Genomic DNA, 20,700 nt, shown 5'->3' with positions numbered 1-20,700 from the left:
GGAATTGGAGCTCTCAATATAAGGACAAGTAACTTCCCATATGCCAATCAAAACACTTAAGCATGGCCCACAGTAAATCTCAGTAATTATCTCAACCACACGCTTTGGAGTAAATCAATAGTAAACCCAGGAAGTAACTGTCAAGGTTTTCAAACCTGACATTCCTGTATAACTCAATACACATACCCACCCCTCTGCCTTCTTAAAAAATAAGTTGTATTAGATATAATTTTTATACAATAAGATTTTACCCATTTTCAGTACATGATTCAATGAGTTTTGATGAATGTATACAGTCATTTAATCACCACTATAATCATAACCTAGAGTATTTTCATCACCCCAGAAAGTTGCTGTGCAGTTCCTTTGCAGTCAGTACTCCCCAGCCCCTGGCCTGCTTTCTGTTGCCACATTTTTACCTTTTCTAGGATTTCATATAAATGAATTGATATTAGTTGGGGTTCACCAGAGAAATCAGACCAAGAAGAGAGATGTATACGTATATGTATATGTATATGTATATGTATATGTATATGTATATGTATATGTATATTTAGTGTGTGTGTGTGTGTGTGTGTGTGTGTGTAGATTTATTATGGGAATTGACACATGCAGTTATGGAAGCCATGAAGGCCCACGATCTGCAAGATGGAGAACTAGGAAAGCCAGGGGTACAATTTAGTCTGAGGTCAAAGGCCTGAGATCCCAGTTAGTGTGCTGAGGGAGAGGGGAGAACATAGATGTGCTAGCTCAAGGAGAGAGAGAAAGAATTTGCCCTTCTGCCTTTTAGTTCCATCCACGCCCTCAACAGATTAGAAGATGCCTGCCCACATTGGTGAGGATCAATCTTCTTTACTCAGTCTACAAATTAAAATGACAGTCTCTTCCAGAAACACTGTCACAGACACAGAAACATTATTTCTATTAAACAGAAATAATGTTTAACCAGCTATGTGGGCATCATTCAACCTAGTCAAGTTAACACGTAAAATTCACCATCACAAAACTCATACAATATGATATGTAGTCTTTTGTGCCTGGCTTCTCCCACTTAGCATAATTCTTTTGAGATTCATCCATGCTGTTTTATCAGCAGTTCCTTCCATTTTATTGCTAAGTAGTATTGCCTTGTCTGGATGTGCCACAGTTTGTTTATCCATTCTTCAGTTCTACAACATCTGGATTGTTTCCAATTTGGAGTGATTATAAATAATGCTGCTGTAAACATTCACATGTAGGTCTTTATGTGGACATATACTTTCATTTCTTTTGGATAAATAGCTAGGAATAGAATTGCTGGGTTTTATAAATATATGTTTAACATTATTAGGAAACTGCCAAACTATTTTCCAAAGTGTCTGTATCATTTTGCATTCCCACAAGCAATGAATAAGACTTCTCGTATCTCCACATTTACACCAACCATTGGTACTTTCAGCTTTAAACATTTTAGTCTTTGTACTAGGTATATAATGCCATCTCACTGTGTTTTGAATTTGCATTTCCCTAGTGTCTGATGATATTGAGCATCTTTTCATATACTTATTTGGCATATGCATGATGAAGCTTCTTTGATGAAGCTTCTGTTCAAATCTCTTGCCCATTTTTATTGTGTTGTTGGTCTTATTGGATTGTATTATTGAGTTATAACAGTACTTTACTAGATACATGTTTTGCAAATATTTTATCCCAGTCCATGGCTTATCTTTTGATATTCTTTTGAAGGGCAGAGGCTTTAAATTTGGATAAATTTCAGTTTATCAGGTTTTTTAATCTTTGTGCTTTTGGTGTCCTAAGAAATCTGCCTAGCACAAGGTTACAGCTTTTCTCCTGTCTTCTTCTAGAAGTTTGTTGTTTCAACTCTTACATTTAGGTTTGTGACCCATTTTGAGTTAATTGTTGTCTATGGTGTGAGGTAAGGGTTTGTGTTCTTACATATGGATATCCATTTGTCCCAGAACCATTTGTTTAAAAGACTGCCCTTTCCTCCATTGAATTACTGGGTACAGGTTGCGTTTCCCTAATCCAAAATCTGCAATCCAAAATGCTTCAAAATCATGGGCCAGGTGCAGTGTCATCCCTGTAATCACACTTGTAATCTCAGCACTTCAAGAGGCCAAGGCAGGTAGATCCCTTGAGCCTAGGAGTTCAAGACCAGCCTGGGCAACATGGTGAAACCACATCTCTCTCTCTCTCTCTCTCTCTCTCTCTCTACATATATATATACATATATATATATATATATATATACACATATACATATATATATATATACACACACAAACACACACACACACACTCTATACACACACACACACACACACACACACATCAGCTGGCCAGGCATGGTGGTTCACGCCTGTAATCCCAGCACTTTGGGAGGGCGTGGCGGGTGGATCACGAGGTCAGGAGCTCGAGATCAGGCTGGCCAATATGGTGAAATCTCATCTCTACTAAAAATACAAAAATTAGCCAGGCGTGGTGGCAGATGCCTGTAATCCCAGCTACTTGGGAGGCTAAGGCAGGAGAATTGCTTGAACCTAGGAGGCGGAAGTTACAGTGAGTCAAGACAGCACCATTGCACTCCAAACTGGGCTACAGAGTGAGACTCTGACTCAAAAAAAATTTTTTAAAAAGGCCAGGTGTGGTGGCACACATCTATACTCCCAGCTACTTGGGAGGCTGAAGTGGGAGGATTGCTTGAACCCAGGAGGCGGAGGTTACAGTGAGCCAAGATCATGCCACCACACTCCAGCCTGGGCAACAGAGTGAGACCTATCTCAAAAAAAAAAAAAAAAAGCTTCAAAATCTGAAATTTTTTTAGTGCCGACCTGATCCTCAAAAGAAATGTTCATTGGAGTATATTGGATTTCAAATTTGTGGATAAGAGATATTCAACCAGTGAGTATAATGCAAATATTCCAAAAATCCAAAAAAAAAGATCTGAAATCCAAAACATCTCTGGTCCCATGTATTTCAGATAAGGGATACTCAACCTATACCTTTGTTGGAAATAAGTTGACCATATATTTGTGGGTCTGTATCTGGACTCTTCTATCAAGTTATCAAGTGAGCTACGTGTCTATCCTTATGTCAGTATCTCTCTGTCTAATTACTGTAGCTTATGGTAAGCCTGGAAACTTTGTTCTTTTTCAAAACTGTTTTGGCTATTCTAGGTCATTTCCATTTACATATACATTTTAAAATCAGTTTATTAATTTACAATAGTTGGCAGCTGGGATTTTTATTGGAATTGCATTAATCTATAGATCAATTTGGGGAGAATTTATATCTTAAGAATATTGAGTTTTCCAGTCCTTGAAACTCTCACCATTTGTTTTTCTTTAATTTTTCTTTTACTTTCCATAGCAAGAGTGGATAGATCTTACACATATTCAGTTAAATTTAGCCTTAAATACTTCATTTTTAAAATGCTGTTGCAAATGTTTTGATAACTTTGAGTTCTTGTTCATTGCTAACATATAGAAATAGAATTGGTTTTTTTCGCTCTGTTACCCAGGCTGGAGTGCAGTGATGCGATCTTGGCTCACTGCAAGCTTCACCTCCCAGGTTCACACCATTCACCTGCCTCAGCCTCCCGAGTAGCTGGGACTACAGGTGCCTGCCACCATGCCCAGCTAATTTTTCTTGTATTTTTAGTAGAGACGGGGTTTCACCATGTTAGCCAGGATGGTCTCGATCTCCTGACCTTGTTATCCACCCGTCTCGGCCTCCGAAAGTGCTGGGATTACAGGCGTGAGCCACCGCGCCTGGCTGCAGTTGGTTTTTTATAGTGACCTTGTGTCCCGTTACCTTGCTAAACCTACTATTTCTAGTAGCTTTTTGGCTGGACTTCTTAGGATTTTCTACGTAGGTCATTATGTCATCTACAAAGAAAAAGTGTTTTACTTCTTCCTTTTCAATCTGTATGCCTTTTCTTTCTTTTTTTTCCCCTGTCCTTTTGCACTGGCTAGGCAATCCAGTACAATGTTGAGTAGAAGTAGTGAGAACAGACATCTTTGATTGTTCCCAATATTAGGGAGGAAGCATTCAGTCTTTCTGGTTGAGTATGATGTTAGCTGTAGATTTTTCATAAATGCTCTTTATCAAGAAGATCAAGTTACACCTTATTTCTAAATTTGCTGAACTTTTATCATGAATGAATGTAGAATTTTGTCATATGCTTTTTCAGCTCCTGTTGATATAATCATAAGGTTTTTAATATTACTGAATTACACTGATTTTTTAAAATGTTAAACCAATCTTGCATTCCTGGGATAAATTCTACTTGGTCATGATGCATTATCAGATATTTTATATATATATATACACACACATATATTTATTTAATTTGCTTTAAAAAGTTAAGGTTTTTACATCTATATTCACAAAGGGTATTGATCTTGTTTTCTTGCAATGTCATTGTCTGGTTTTGGTATCATGGTGACACTAGCATTATAGTGTTTCCTTGGCTCTGCTATTTTCTTAAAGAATTTGTGTAGAATTAGGATTACTTCTCACTTAAATGTTTGCAAGGATTATCCAGCGAAGCCATCTAGTCTAGAGTTTTCTTTGTTGGGAACCCCTTATTTTTAATATAGGAAGGACTTATCTTCTATTCCCTATCAACACAGTGTGTAGGCCAGGCACAGTGGCTCGTACCTGTAATCCCAGCACTTTGGGAGGCCAAGGCGGGAGGATCCCTTGAGCCCAGGAGTTTGAGACCATGGGAAGACCCTGGCTATTTATTTGTTTTATTTGTTTGTTTGGACAGGATCTCACTCTTTCGCCCAGGCTGGAGTGCAGTGACATGATCACGGCTCACTGCGGGCTTGACATCCCTGGGCTCAGGTGATCCTCCTGCCTCAGCCTCCCAGGTAGCTAGGACTACAAGCACACACCACAGTGCCCAGCTAATTTTTATGTTTTTTGTAGAGACAGGGCTTCACGACGTTGCCCAGGCTGGTCTTGCTCCCAGTGTGCTGGGATTACAGACGTGAGCCGCCGTGCCTGGCCAACCTCATCTCTACAAAATATAAAAAGATTAGCTGGGTGTGGTGGTGCACACCTGTGGTCCCAGCTACTCAGGAGGCTGAGGTGGAAGGATTGCTTGAGTCTGGGAGACAAAGGCATCAGTGAGCTATGATTATACTACTGCGCTCCATCCTGGGTGACAGAGCAAGACCGTATCTCAAAAGAAAGAAAGAAAAAAGCAACACATGTTGTAGCCCTGAGAATGAAGGGTAATCAAGTTGTGAGAATCGTTGCTGCCTAAATAATGCTTCCAGCACACACAGTTCCACCAAGCCCTGTGTTTCCCTGGCCTTGGCTGTAGTGGAAGGGAATTTAAGTGATTTTAAGAGTGTTTTCAGGTGTGGGTACAATATTTTTTAAACTTTCTTTCTTTTTTTTTTTTTTTTTGAGACAGTCTCACTCTGTCGCCCAGGCGAGAGTGCAGTGGCACGGTCTTGGCTCACTGCAACCTCCACCTCCCGGGTTCAAGCAGTTCTCTGCCTCAGCCTCCCGAGTAGCTGGGATTACAGGCACCCACCACCACGCCCGGCTAATTTTTTGTATTTTTCGTAGAGACGGGGTTTCACCCTCTTGGCCAGGCTGGTCTTGAACTCCTGAACTCATGATGTACCTGCCTCGGCCTCCCAAAGTGCTGGTATTATAGGCATGAGCCACCGCGCCCAGCCATATTTTTAAAACTTTCTAAAAAACCTTGTCTGCAGCCAAAAAATACCCTGCTAGCTAACAGAGGGTTAGGTAGACCTGATTTCTATCGGCAATGCCAGAATGTCTCCTTTCCACCTTGTGCCTCCACTCTGGTCAGGGTGCAAGGTAGGGAGGCACAGAGGCGTGGCTAACCTATTCATACTCTTATTATCTGAAACTTTTTTGGAAAAATATTATAAGCTTATAGCAAATCAAACAATATAAAAGTATATAAAGAAGAAAAGACCACTGTCCCTGTACCTTGCACATAAGAAAACCAAATATTCACAATTTGATACATATCCTTCATTTTTCTCTATATTCTTTAAAAAAATACACATATGCTCATATAGATAGGTATTTGTCTTTCTCATTCTTTTATTTCTTTTCCCCCAAATGGGATCATGGATGCTGAAACCTCATTTTTTCACTTAACTAATGGACATTTCTCCAAGTATGTGCTTCTGTTGCTAGACTTTTCTCATTAATAGCTGCATACTTTTCCATAATAAGAATGTACCAGTTTATTCATCCTATTTGATAGACAATCAGATGGTTTCCAGCGTTTTGCCTTTGAAAATAATGCAGCAATAAGCATCTTTGTACCTATATTCCTATATTACAGGAGCTTTTCCTTCTGTAGGAGATTCCCAGGAGCAGGATTGAAATTGTTGAATCAAAGAGCGTTACACATTTTCTTTCTTTCTTTTTTTTTTTTTTGAGATGGAGTCTCGCTCTGTCACCCAGGCTGAAGTGCAGTGGTGTGATCTCGGCTCACTGCAACCTCCATCTCCCAGGTTTAAGCAGTTCTCTGCCTCAGCCTCCCAAGTGGCTGGGATTACAGGCACCTGCCACTACGCCCGGCTAGTTTTTGTATTTTTAGTAGAGACAGGGTTTCACCATCTTGGCCAGGCTGGTCTTGAACTCCTGACCTCGTGATCCACCTGCCTCAGCCTCCCAAAGTGCTGGGATTACAAGCATGAGCCATCGCACCCATCCGAGCGTTACACATTTTCTAGTCATTACCATCTTTTCGTGTGTTTATTACCTACCATATACATTTCCTTTTCTGAAATTGCAGGCCTATATCTTTATTCATTTTTATCCTACATTTGTCTTTTTCCTAGCAGTCTGAAGATATTCTTTGAATACTGAGGATATGTTACATGTATTGCAAGGATTTTCACCAAATCTGTACTTTTTCACTTGGCTTTATTTATAGTATCTTTGGACATATAATTTTTAAAATATGTTTATAAAATTAAAAACCTGTTATTTTTTTCATGTCTTTTTGTGTTTACTGACTTGCTTATGTTTTCCGTCTGGGGTTATACAAAAATATTCATCAAAATTTTCATCTTATTATTTTACTGTTTTGTTTTTTACATTCAAGACTTTAGCTAGAATTTAATTTTGTATGTAATGTAAGGAGGAGTCAAGACTTGGCATCTGGGAGTTTGCCGTAACTCTTCATATCTTGTGGCATTTTCCATGTTTTCATAATAACCCTCCAGTCAGCTCATAGTTCCTCAGGTTTCAGGCCTTTCCCATGTTGGCTGCTGTGCTGCAAACTGAGAGTGGGAAGGAACCATGTCTGTCTCTTTCTCCATTGCATCCTTCAGGAAGGACCAGTAAATGTTGCAAAGCACCTAGCATAGGGCCTAACACATTTTAGGCACTCAGACAACATTCATGGGGGGAATGAAAGTTGCATTCACACCGCATTACTATCACCCCTTGGCAAGTTTAATATTGATGGCTTTGTCTGTGTAAACAAGGGGAAATGTCATTCTCCTTAACGCCACTCATGGTCTCATGAGCTCACTCTGGTCCTTCCTCCTTCTGTGTCTTTATTCTTTGAGGTCTGCCTTCTCTTTATAAATCTGGCTCATTCTATAAGGACTCCCTTCTGGCAGAGGCAAGGTGGGGGGCGCTTTCTTCAAACCCCTTCTTAAAATCTAACAGTACTTATAAATTCTGCAATACTATTTAGCATTTAATCCACAATGGATTTTAGTCCTTTTCTAGCACCCATCACTGTGCTGGGCACATAGCCCATTAAATACATCAACTGTGACTGAAACAATCTTGCATGCCAAGGTTCTTTAAAAAGCCTGAGGTATAGCCTCAAGATTTGTTATGAAAGCCCTTAGGTCTAAGGAACAACAAACTGGGAAGAGGTAGAAAATGACCCTGAGAGGCCGGGCGCGGTGGCTCACGCCTGTAATCCCAGCACTTCGGGAGGCCGAGGCGGGCGGATCACGAGGTCAGGAGATCGAGACCATCCCGGCTAAAACGGTGAAACCCCGTCTCTACTAAAAATACAAAAAATTAGCCGGGCGTAGTGGCGGGCGCCTGTAGTCCCAGCTACTTGGGAGGCTGAGGCAGGAGAATGGCGTGAACCCGGGAGGCGGAGCTTGCAGTGAGCCGAGATCCCGCCACTGCACTCCAGCCTGGGCGACAGAGCGAGACTCCGTCTCAAAAAAAAAAAAAAAAAAAAAAAAAAGAAAATGACCCTGAGAGCTGTTGAATACAAGAATGGTTTTTCTTTTTTTTTTTTTCTTTTTTTTTTTCTGAGACAGAGTCTCGCTCTGTCGCCCAGGCTGGAGTGCAGTGGCACAATCTCAGCTCACTGCAAGCTCCACCTCCCGGGTTCAGGCCATTCTCCTGCCTCAGCCTCCCAAGTAGCTGGGACTACAGGCGTCCACCACCTCGCCCGGCTAATTTTTTGTATTTTTAGTAGAGACGGGGTTTCACCGTGTTAGCCGGGATGGTCTCGATCTCCTGACCTCGTGATCCGCCCGCCTCGGCCTCCCGAAGTGCTGGGATTACAGGCGTGAGCCACTGCGCCCGGCCTAAGAATGGTTTTTCAAGTGAGACTGTGTAGTCACATTTAAATTGTCCTGAACACAATTGTTAGACAAACACGAGCAGGTATTGCTCTGTCCAAAGGCACAGGTCCACAGACTTTCTCAGGACGTTTTCTGTTTCCATGGCCTTCACCAGCTTGGATCTTTGGAGCTTCAGAGAAAATGGAAAGAAACTTGATGTGTCCCTATATTTGGTTTAGAAATAATATCAAATGGCTCTCAGCTCTTTCTGCGTGCATTTTTAATGAAGAAACGGCTAATTCTAGGGCTAGGGCAGGGACTATACAAGATGACCCTGGAGCATCTTGGGGGATTTTGTTTGTTTTGTTTTTGTAGAGGCGAGGTTTTGCCATGTTGCCCAGTCTGGTCTCAAACTCCTGGGCTCAAGCCATCTGCCCACCTCATCCTCCCAAAGTGCTGGGATTACAGGTGTGAGCCACCACGCCCGGCCCCCTGGGGCATCTTGTAATGCCAGAAAGTACTCAAAACCAAAAGGATGGGCGTATGTCAAAGGGACACAGGAGCCAACTGGAAAAGCTCCCAATGGCCAAAGCTGGAACAATTCGAACAACAAAATAATATAGCATTGAATTATAGCCCAAAGAATAAAACAACCATGAGTTCATACTGATATAAATGACTGAATAAATAAATGGAAGAGACCAATCTCCCATGCAGAAGAACTCCCAATAATTTATGTAGAAACTCCACCCTTAAGGAGATAGAGCATAGAAACCCCACCCTTAAGGAGATAGAGCATAACTTCAGGGAATAATTCCCCAACCCTTAAGAGTGGAATACATGTAATGCCTTGCTTTCCAACATGAAAAAAAAAATTAAAATTAAAGAAACAAAGAGTACAACATGAAAAAAGGGAGCAAAGTAACTTTACAGTGGAGAAACTTGGCAAAGACTACCTTAGCCAGGTGACCAGGGTTAACACCATCAGTAAGAAGTCATGTTGATCATATGTGCCCTTAATATGATGTGATGAAAATGACATTTCACCTCTGTGGTCTTCCAAAAACCATAACCACAGCCTGTAAGAAAAACGGACATATCCCAATTAAGGTATGTGCTACAAAATACATAACCAGTTCTCCTCAAAACTATCAAAGTCATCAACAACAGCCAAGTGCAGTGGCTCACACCTGTAATCCCACCATTTGGGATGCTGAGGCAGGAGGATTGCTTGAGGCCAGCAGTTCAAGACCAGGCAGGCCAACATAATGAGACCCTTTTTTTTTTAATTAAAATTTTTAAAAATTAGCTAAGTGTTGCACATGCCTGTAGTCCTGGCTACTTGGGATGCTGAAGCAGGAGGATTGCTTGTGCCCAGCCAGGGGTTCACTCAGGAGTTGAGCCCAGGCTGCAGTGAGCTATGATTGTGCCACTGCACTTCAGCCCAGGCAACAGAGCGAGACCATGTCTCTTTAAAAAAAAGAAAAAAAAAATCATCAAAAACAAAGAATGTCTAAGAAACTATCACAGCCTACAGGAGTCTATGGAAATATGACGATTAAATGTAATATGGTATGATGGATGGGATCCTGGAACAGAAAAAGGACATTAAGCAAAACTAGTAAACTCTGAAAAAAGTATGAAGTTCACTTAATAATATATTATTTCTTTAGTGGTGATAAATGTACCACAGTAAGGTGTTAACAGAACTGGGTCTGAGTACGTGGAAACTCTGTATTATCCTTGTACCTTTTCTGTAAATCTAAAACTAAAATTAAGTTTACTTAAATATCTTTAAAATATGCAGTTTGGGCAACAGATTGACTACATGCTTATCTTCAAAACTGTGCTTTCAATTACAGGGTGCTGGTGACAGCTTTGTGGGAGCTCTGGCCTTCTACCTGGCTTACTATCCAAATCTGTCCTTGGAAGACATGCTCAACAGATCCAATTTCATTGCAGCAGTCAGTGTCCAGGCTGCAGGAACACAGTCATCTTACCCTTACAAAAAAGACCTTCCGCTTACTCTGTTTTGATTGCTATTAGTCCCAAAATAAATATACCTGGGAATAAAATGTACTTGGGGGTGGCTGCTCCTGGCTAATGCTTATTAGAAAATGTCCTCGTCCCCTTTCTTTGCAAATATTAGTTCTTTTACGAAGTCATCCTCAAGCTTCAATTTATTTATAACGATGATTCTTTTGCTTTCCATGCATTTGCACAAAACAACCAGAATTAAAGATTCCACAACCAAGATCTGTACAAACATAAAGACAAGTAACCTCAATTGTCAACAGATTGTTAATGCCCCATGTGCACCATATGGCAGGGGTTGTGGACAACAGTGTCTAGAGTCAGAGCAGACTCTTCTTAAATAAGGGAAAGGGCACTTTCTAAGAGGGGCAGCTGATACTCAACTTCAGCTTAGTGTTGTCAACGCCTCTGGTTTTGTAAGGGAAGGCAGAAGTTTGGATATTTATTGAAACCCTTCAATGTTTATGTATCAGCAACTAATTTTTTTTTAAATGTAAACACCACAGGGGCATGGTGGCTCACGCCTGTAATCCCACCACTTTGGGAAGCAAGGCAGAAGAATTGCTTGAGCCCAACATGGCAAAACCTCATCTCTACTAAAAATACAAAAAATTAGCCAGGTGTGGTGGCACACACCTGTAGTCCCAGCTACTCAGGAGGCTGAGGTGGGAGGATAACATGAGCCTGGGAGTTCAAGGCTGCAGTGAGCTATGATCACACCACTACACCCCAGCCTGGGTGACAAAGCAGACCCTATATCAAAAAAAAAAAAAAAAAAAAGAAGTAACCACCACCTATGGGCCACATTCAACCCATGGGCTGAATAAGTAAGTCATTTGTTAAACCAGGTAAGTTTTTTTTTTTTTTAAGCAATTCATGCATGTCACAGACCCTTTACATCAGCTTAGCTAGGATCAGGTGAAAGATTTTTCTTGTAACTCAACACTATATACAGTTTCAGCCTAAAAAGAGCCAAGATCTCACCTATTATTACTTTGAACCAGAGCTTTATCAAAAGATGCCATAAAATAGCTGATTGACCATGAGGCCACAAGCCCTAAGACTCATCAACTATCTGCCTCTAATTCCACTGCCAGAGAGCTGCTCTTACATTTCCCTCAGAGCCAGGTTTGGGCCATGGAGAAGGAACTTCTTATTTTGTAGTCAGGGTGGGCACTGTATCATTCTCCCACACAAATGCTTTAAATGGGGTAGGATGTGAACCAACAGATCTTAAAATGAGCAGATCCTTTTCAACCGGGAACTTGACAAAGGAGAAAACTGGACAATTTTCAAAACTTGTGGGAAACAACAGCCTGAGTGAGAAAGTGTATGGCTCTGGGCAGGAGAGAGGTCCGTATCTGAACATTAGGGATTGCTCCCAGAATTCCATGCTAGTTAGCTGTGTGGTACCACCATGCCCCAGAAGTCTTAGCAGTGGCTTTATTGAAACACTATACCTTCTTTTATTTTAAAAGGAAAGAAAAATCTAGGGAATAAAGGAATCCAAAGCTGTCCCAGAAAATCCTAGATACTGCTTTGGTGATCTGGGTTTGAAAATATAGGCCTGTGGCATTTTTCCTAATTATATAAGCACAAATCAGAAATAGAGGTTCTCTTGGTTTGTGTTACAAGGCTCCTCTTTTTGTCATTCCTGGTCCCCCTTGCCATCTCTGTTATTACATGGGAGTTTCTTCAAGATCACTCTGGAATGTTACTCTGCCTTTTCTCTGAGTACAGAGGGAGCAGGCTGGAAACTCTTACATAAGTGTTGTTATGGAAACATTTATTACATGGAACAATGGTTATTTTTTAGTAATGTGGTTGATTTTTAAAACATCAAATAGTGGGGAAAAACATCACTAAGACACAATAGCACAGGCTATTTTAATATTTTTTATTAAGGGCTATAAAAATACCCAGAAAGATAAATAAATGTGATGCAATGATATCTGTCCTAATATGAAGAACTTTCTTTCACTGCATTGTTTTCCTTCACAATGGCCTTCAAATCACAGGAGGCAGTGATTCCATGCCATTTCCTCTTCTTTTATTACACGCTACAGGATTTCTGAATCAGTATCCCCGCCCTCAGTCTTCTCTTTATAAATCAAAGTCATTTTCAATCCACCGTTTAAAGGGAGCGTATTTTTTTCTTTTCCACGAAGAGGACTCTTTGTTTCACTATGGAGGGAGAAAAAAAAATTGTGGCAGAAAATTATTAAGTATCATCGCCATTTTTATAAAAAATACATATCAGACCATAAGCCCTCACCTTTCTCTTATTTTACTATTCCTTGATATGAAGATGGAGCTGATTTGCAAACTCAGTTCCTCCATCCCAGGAGCCAGGGCAGACTGGAGAAAATGGCTATAGGGCCACTAGCTAATCAGCAGCATCCTTGGTATGCCACAAGTCATATTCAACCAATGAAGAAATATTCACATTAAGAAAGAAAACTAGGGACAAAAATGGAAAACAATGTTTTCACCCAATTAATGTCCACTCTTGTAGGAGGTAAGCAAGGACAGACTGGGAGCTGGACTCCAGAAAGAGAGCAGCAAGAACCAAGTGGACCACGCTGTCTGGAAGAGTAATAGACACTAAACCTCTACTTCCCAGAGATGGGTTAATACACCCAAATACGGAGTTTTTAGTTTGGTACTATAATTAATATCATAACCAAAATCTCATTATTGTAAATATTAGAGTACAGTTCTCTGAAACAAAGTGCTACCGGCCTGGATGAAACACTGAAGGCTAGCTGGGCGCAGTGACTCACACCTGTAATCCCAGCACTTTGGGAGACCGAGGTGGTCATATCACCTGAGGCTGGGAGTTCAAGACCAGCCTGGCTAACATGGAGAAACCCCATCTCCACTAGAAATACAAAATTAGCCAGGCATGGTGGTGCATGCCTGTAATCCCAGCTACGCGGGAGGCTGGCGCAGGAGAATCACTTGAACCCGGGAGGCAGAGGTTGCAGTGAGCCGAGATCGCACCATTGCACTCCAGCCTGGGCAACAAGAGTGAAACTCCGTCTCAAAAAAAAAAAAAGAAAAGATTGAAGACTAGATGCTGAGCAGTAAGGCTTTCATATTTCTATAATGCCTTATGGCACTCGATTAACTTCCATCTCTCTCACACACACACCCACACACCCACACACACACACACCCCTACCTATTTCCTCTTTGCTAAAACAAAAACAAGAAAACACCAGAAATGGAATAATCACCCAAGGAAGATCCAGGAACTTAAACAACTATGACCTAACAATTCCTCACTTGTCCCTATCATACAGACATTTTAGCTTTTTTCTTCTACAGTCAATATGGATACTCTGCATATGAGATTCCCAAGCTATCTACGACTAAGAATGAGCTTATCTAAGTAAGTCCATTCTCACCTCCACTCCTACCTTAATTCTGGTTTAGTAGGGCTAGAGTTGGACTGAAGTCTACATTTTTTAAAACTACTCAATTGATGGGCAGCTGAATTTAAGAATCATTAACCTGTCAACAGAATTTATCTATGATATTAATACACTGTACATAAGGGATCTTTTTAACATACTTCAAATCATGTGAAATGTAAGTAGGATTGATCCTCCTAAAACTCCAAGGAGGACTACAATGCATTAATGCATTACAAGATGGTAGTAAAGAACCAAAACAGTTTCTCATCTATATTACGACAAGAAATATTTCCCCCATGGTTTTCTACAGGGAACTAAAAACTTGGTTTAAAAAAAGGCGGGGGGTAGGGGGGTTGTCTCACTGAAAAGCAATCTGGAGACTATTTAAATGACCCTGACTAGGAGTAACTGATTAAGGTTAGTAGAGCAAGGCTATATTGAGTAGAATTCTTTGATTCATTCACTGCACCTATTCCTTTAACTCAAAGAATAAAATATTTAAGTCCATAGAACTGTGCTAGGCAATGTAGAGTTTACAAAAGTGTAAGAAGACTCCCTGATTTAATACATCAGTACATCATGAGGTGCCCACACAAATGTCCAGTAAACCCCAGAGGAACCTAAAGGTCAGAAAGGGACAGGAATGGTGACAGAAGTCCTCATGGAAAGTGTCAAGTTTGGTCCCTGAAGACAGATCAGCATTTGGATTAAATGAACCAGGAATGGGCATCTGGTTTAGTAGAGGGATTGGTGATAGGAGTCTCAGTGGGGATCCATGGCCTGACCACAGGGATGGGTCTTGATTAAAAAAAAAAAAAAAAAAAAAGTTTTAGATTAATTTGGCTCCATGTAAGAGACAGAACAGGGACTTGGCCAGGAATGGTGGCTCATGCCCATAATCCCAGCACTTGGGAGACTGAGGTAGGAGGATTAGTAGAGGCCAGGAGTTCCAGACCAGCCTGGGCAACACAGAAGACACTGTACAAAAAAAACCAAAAACCTATTTTTAAATTAGAAGGGCTAAGCACAATGGCTCAGGCCTGTAATCCCAACACTCTGGGCAGCCAAGGTGGGCGGACTGCTTGAGCTCAGGAGTTCGAGACCAGTCTGCACAACACAGACCCCATCTCTATTTTAAAAAATTAAATAAATAAATACATAGAAGAACAGGGACTTGAGTGAGAAAGACTCGGTTCCAACTCTGGCTCCACCATTTATCAGCTATGAATCCCTGGGAAAATTTCTCAAAGTACTCTATCCTGCTTTCTTCCCTGTGGGAGAGATAACTATCTCCCTCACAAGGTTGTTGCTGGACACATAGTGCGCACTCAACACTGAGTTGAAATGACACACTGCTACCCACAATTGTAAACATGAATTAATTTTCTGTCAAAATATTTGCTGCTTAATTCATAGAAGAATGAATCTGTCAAGTTCTCTCCCTACATCTAACCAAAATCGATTCTGCTTCAATTACAGTCTATATTGTCTTGTTTAGTCATCCAAGGAATTAAAACTGACAAGTTTTCATTCTCTTTATGATAAACCTTCAATATATTTAAGAAAGTTTAATAAGCTCATGCCTCAGCCTTTAATCCTTCCTCTTCGGAAATTAGCATCTAGTTTTATACGTGGAAAAGGAATTCGAAAGGATAGGCACATGCAGCTGCTTCTTGCCACAGACTATATTATGAAATGCTCAAATAATTGGGAATTTTTTCACGTTTCCTTACCTATTTCCTTCATAAAGCAGACCAACAATCATCGTCCTCAAACTTAACAATTTACTCATCACAGTAAAACATGCTGGGAGAACTGCCAAGCTATTTGGTACCCTGGGCAATGGGGGCAGGCCCCGAGGCAAACATCTTCATCACGAACACGTGCAGGGCATTCAGCAGGTGGGCAGAAAGCCAGGCAGTCTGCTATCCCAGAACATTCTCTTCTTCAGAAAAGACAAAGTTGTGCTGTCAAAGCTAAGACCGTTCCTTATCAGAAAAATTCTAAGCGTCTGTTTGAAATTTATACGTGAATCTTTTCTCCCACTTTGAACTATGATCAGAACTGTTTATGGCTGTATCCTTTCCCAATCTCAAAACTTAAAATCAAACTGACAATTATTAAGTTCCTAATACCTCCATACTAAAGATGAAAAGCCCAATACATTTTTTCATACTTAAAATATCACAGAATGTTACTCAGTCACCCCTTTGACTTTTCACCAGCTGACACAAAGAAATCAGAGGGAGAAAAACATACCAATCCAATTCTAAACCTTATCAATCCAACAGCAAACCTCATCATTTTTCCACCATATGAGGAATCATCCTGAAATTCAGACTCCTTACCATCAGATACAGACCTAGAATTCCCTTTTCACTCTGATAATGAATAAACAGAAATTTGAACACCATAAAAACAGCAAGGAATTTTATTTCTGTTAAAGGATGGAACACAAGAAACTTTAAGCTGACAACTGTGCTTCTTGGAGCCTTTAAAAAATGTCTGCTCATGTTATTATAGCCATTATCTTGTTAAGAAGCAATGGCCGGGTGCGGTGGCTCACACCTGTAATCCCAGCACTTTGGGAGGCTGAGGTGGGTGGATCACCTGAGGTCAGGAGTTCAAGACCAGCGTGGCTAACATGGTGAAACCCTATCTCTACTAAAAATATAAAAGTTAGCCGGGTGTGGTGGCACACACCTGTAGTCCCAGCTACTTGGGAGGCTGAAGCAGGAGAATCACTTGAACCCAGGAGGCAGAGGTTGCAGTGAGCCGAAATTGTACCACTGCACTCCAGCCTGGGCGACAAAGTGAGACTCCATCTCAAAAAAAAAAAAAAAAAAATTAATTATAAAGAGCACAAAATGAACAGCCAGAGCTCTAAAATTAAAAAACACGTTTGCTATTTTTACATAAATCTGCACATAAAATCCAGAAACAGGATAGGCATCCACCAACAGCAATCAGGTGCTGACTCTATTTTTGTTTGTGAGCAGATAATATGGCCTTAGGAACACTTGTCTCTTCTAGATAAATACTTCCATCTAATGAGACCATTTAAAGTTACCATATAGTACAGCATTTTAGTGGATGGCACAAAATGGAAAAATCAAATTTCCTACCCCCACTGCACTAATATATAGAAACCATATTCCTTTAACTTCTATCAGGAACCAAATACTAGCCACTGTCGAACAGATGATGCCAGGACACCATACCGTCCCCTTCTTAAGACACTTGTCTGTTTCCAGAACACTACCACCTATTCTCTTTACATAGCTGGTTTCTCACCTTCAGGTCTCGGTTAACTATCTCCTCCTGGAGAGACCTTCCCTGATTTAGCCATCTAATGTGACTTTCCCTACCACTCTCCAACTTCATCCTACACCTCAGCATCCTGATTGTTTCTCTCACAGCACTTATAATTTGTCATCTTTTCTCCCCCTCTCAGACTAGACTAAGTGCCAAGAGTACAGGGACTTGTCTTGTGTCCTGGTGTATCCCAGCACCTGGGATGTTAAATAGCATCATAACAATCATTCAATACCTATTTACTAAATGAATGCTAGTGTCAGAGGCTAAAAAAACACCTCCAGAGAGTTCAGATGTTCAGCCTACAAAGGGGGCAACAGGCCTTGGAAGCATTAACCTCCCCAGATCTTACCAACTGGATCATAATGCAAAAGAGTCAGTTTTTCCCGCAGTCGGTTTCTCTTGGTGTTGAAGCAGAAACCTGTCCCAGCTTCGCTCACCATTCTCACCAGAATGTTTCTAAGATTAAAAAGTACGCTGTTATGTACGAGCTGACGAAATAAACTAAAATCAGTCACAGGGGGATGGCACATTTTGAGAACTCTGTAGGGTAATATTAGTTGTGAGATATCACTTGGCCCTAAAAGGTTCAGTTGTAAGACAGCCTAAGTTTTCCATGAAACAGTTTCAATGGTTTCAAATCTCTAGGATTTGCTCCACTACACAGAGTTACTTCGCAATGACCTAACCAAAACAATAAGAACAATCAAGCCACATTGCGGGACTAGCCTCAGACATCCACCCTTCACGAGGAGCAGAAGTCAGGAAGGGGAAAATATCAAAATACTGGTAACCACAGCTGGCTAGTGAGGAAATTGTAAAGATCGCTGTCTCAGAACAGCCCTCTCTTCCAGGGCATAAATGATTATATTCAGGAAGGGACAAAATAAAGAGACTAAAGCTTTTAGTTTGCTAATGCGCAAAACCTTGTGCCCCTTCATATTTCATTTAAGTTCCACTCATCCAAAGCAGAAAGTCCATGTTTGCCTCACCAGATCTTTTAATACCTGTACTGTTTGTTATTTTTTCATGTGTCTTGTCTCCCCATGTAGACCATGTTATTTTATTTCTCATGTAATTCCAAAACAACCTGGAAGCATCTAAGACTATATTACACACCACTGCATTGCTTTCAACATTCAGCACAGTGCCTCATAAGAGGCATACAGTATTTGTTTGTAATTAAGATAGACAATAATTATTCAACACAGATTCAACAAATATTAAGCACTTACTCTGTGGAAGGCACTCTGGGAAATACAAAGCTCTACAAGTCTATGTCTATGTCCTCTAGGAGCTAACAGTACTGTATGGAAGGTGAGTTGGTACATGAGGTCAATCAGGCAAGACATATATGAAATATGTCACAAGGGTAGAAAGAACGAGAGTCAGAATATACCTCTACAGAAACCAAAGGCAAGAGATTCCTATAGATCCCTGGGGCAGGGAATTTTGACATAAATAACTGGACTGTGGCGAAAGCTACGTGAATCACTGAAAGATACTGGGAGGGAAAGCGCTAACATACATGTTTTTCATTAACGTTAATCCAAAAGACTAGCTTTAAGGATTTTCAATGTCTTGAGTTGCAAGGAAAAGCTGCTTTAGAACCTCCCTATTTTTACCACAAAATCTTCTGTTATTGTCTACAACATTTATTTTGAAATACAAGTTTGGTAGTTCTAGTCTCTCTGGTACAGCATGGAATCTTTAATCTTGGCTATTTTTGAAATGCTTATACCATGAATGCAAAGGATTACAAAACTCATTAAAACAGACTATGATTTAATCAAAGCAGAGTTTGTTCTTCTGGATTCCCGTAGTGAGCTCCAGACACATGGCCCCTGGTCCTCGATTTGAGGAAATGGAAATATGGTGGTAGTCCAAATACAGCACAGCCCAATGGTTTGTTTAGAAACAGACAGTGAGCTCACAAATCCTGGGACTAGAAAAGCAGCAAAGGTTCCTTCAAGTATTTCAATGCTCACAGAAGTAGCTCAGTTCAGCAGGAGGGAAAATATTTTTGAAAGAGTTCATAAAGAAAAAATAATCAACTAAGTAATCCACAAACCAACTCTTAGGAAATCAAGGCCCAATGCTTAATTTCATATAAGGATGTACTGGGAGCAGCTAGACTAACAAATCCAACATAAACAAGTGACGTTTAAAAAAGGAAAAATCTTTACTTACTTTGACTTGCTCTTGGCAACTTTTTTGTAGACAGGAAGGGTTGGAAAAGAAAATAAAAATATAAATGTATTCTCTTTCTTATGCAAAGTTCATATAAATATCAGTAATAACCAAAAATATTTAACTTATGAAATATGCCATGAGGTGTCACTCAAGTAACTATTCCCTATCTATTAGGGATCCCCTTAGGATTTTATAGAAGGAAGGTTAAAAGATCCAATCAGACCAACACAATTCTAGATTTAATATTTTGCATAATTTCATGACTGTTGGACTGGCTACCTTTTAAATCTTTCTAAAGTAATACCTGCTCCATTTTTTCCCTCTTCTAAGGTGCAAGTATTCGCGCTGCAGCAAGCTTCTTGTTTGACAAGTTTAACCTTTGCAAATTACAACAACCATCACATGTGGTGAAAACCAGATACTAAATCTAACTGGGAAGTCAGCCAAGGGTAAAGAAGAGCACTGACTCGGGAGCCCGAGGACTTCTTTAACTGCCCTGCCGCATTACTCAGGCAATTCATTGCCCCTCTCGGGAGCGGTTTCCTTATTTTTAGAGTTCGAAATAGGTGGGCTGCAAATTCTGAGGTCCTTCGGACAAAGATTCTCCTAACACGGGCTGGAGAAAAACGCCCCACAGCCAGACTCAACGGTCCGTGAGGACGGCAATTGAATCCAGACACCGCAGACCCCTTCTCAGGCACCCACAGGTCCGCGCAGGGAGGCGCGCCGCGGGGCATGCCGGACGCTGTGGTCCTGAAGGCCTGGAAAAGTACGCAGCTGCAGCTTCCCGTCCTGTTCGCACATCCTTCCCCGCATCATTCCGGGGCCCTGCCTGTCACGGCCCCCTAACCCTCGCCGTAACCCCTACCGGCGTCTCCAGCCCCACTTACAGAAGACCGCGGAGAGGAACATGGTGACCACACCTGGGCAGTCTCCGTCACCGGCCAAAAGGCCCCCAACCAACAACAACTGCTTCCGGGGCACGGCCCGGTTCTGGAAGAGGACATCCGGCAGTCGCCCGAGGCCACGCCCCCCGCCTGGAACCTGCCTCCAGTCGTCTGGCTCGTTCCTCGGTTTCTCAGAGCGAGTGTGTTTTGCTTTTGTCGTGCTGGAGGTTGGAATCCTCATCATTCTGGAAAGGGATTTACAGCTCAGGGTTCGCGCCCCGGCCCTGACTCCTATTTCTGGGT

The 20,700-nt window shown here is 41.1% G+C and overlaps 2 protein-coding genes across 4 annotated transcripts in view, besides 2 other annotated features; one reads left to right on the top strand and one right to left on the bottom strand.

Annotated features, from left to right (window-relative positions):
* The window catches only part of RBKS (ribokinase), a 109,009-nt gene extending 98,188 nt beyond the window's left edge, over positions 1–10,821 (top strand). For both annotated transcript variants that reach the window (NM_022128.3, NM_001287580.2), the window contains one exon: positions 10,412–10,821. In NM_022128.3, the coding sequence (NP_071411.1) occupies positions 10,412–10,585 (174 nt within the window). In that variant the 3' untranslated portion in view covers positions 10,586–10,821. The remainder of the gene's footprint in view (positions 1–10,411) is intronic.
* A 1,645-nt stretch (positions 10,822–12,466) lies between these two features.
* On the bottom strand, positions 12,467–20,481 carry MRPL33 (mitochondrial ribosomal protein L33). 2 transcript variants are annotated; one of them, NM_004891.4, is made up of 4 exons: positions 20,401–20,481; positions 19,508–19,526; positions 17,670–17,776; positions 12,467–12,767 (listed from the first exon to the last, which is right to left on the bottom strand). In NM_004891.4, the coding sequence occupies exons 1-4, from the start codon at positions 20,420–20,422 to the stop codon at positions 12,718–12,720; spliced, it is 198 nt and encodes a 65-aa protein (NP_004882.1). In that variant the 5' UTR covers positions 20,423–20,481; the 3' UTR covers positions 12,467–12,717. The 2 variants fall into 2 exon arrangements, with proteins under 2 accessions (NP_004882.1, NP_663303.1); NM_145330.3 differs by lacking the exon at positions 17,670–17,776.
* Positions 19,670–20,486: an enhancer, noted in NCBI's record as "H3K27ac hESC enhancer chr2:27994581-27995397 (GRCh37/hg19 assembly coordinates)". NCBI's record gives its function as "activates a minimal SCP1, AML or CMV promoter by ChIP-STARR-seq in naive H9 embryonic stem cells {active_cell/tissue: H9 hESC(naive)}" and the evidence as "EXISTENCE:reporter gene assay evidence [ECO:0000049][PMID:30033119]".
* Positions 20,300–20,429: an enhancer, noted in NCBI's record as "active region_15513". NCBI's record gives its function as "activates an Ori minimal core promoter by ATAC-STARR-seq in GM12878 lymphoblastoid cells {active_cell/tissue: GM12878}" and the evidence as "EXISTENCE:reporter gene assay evidence [ECO:0000049][PMID:35858748]".

This window comes from Homo sapiens, chromosome 2 (assembly GCF_000001405.40).
Source record: "Homo sapiens chromosome 2, GRCh38.p14 Primary Assembly".
Classification (NCBI taxonomy): domain Eukaryota; kingdom Metazoa; phylum Chordata; class Mammalia; order Primates; family Hominidae; genus Homo; species Homo sapiens.
Note: the sequence above shows the minus strand (reverse complement) of the source record. Positions and strands in the feature narration are given on the sequence as shown.

Excerpts from the sequence above, each read along its gene's own strand:
- MRPL33 (NM_004891.4), bottom strand. The coding sequence starts at position 20,422 with ATGTTCCTCTCCGCGGTCTTCT. Across the intron at positions 12,768-17,669 it reads TTTGCATTATGATCCAGTTG|TGAAACAAAGAGTCCTCTTC; the intron begins GTAAGATCTGGG and ends CTCCCTCCATAG.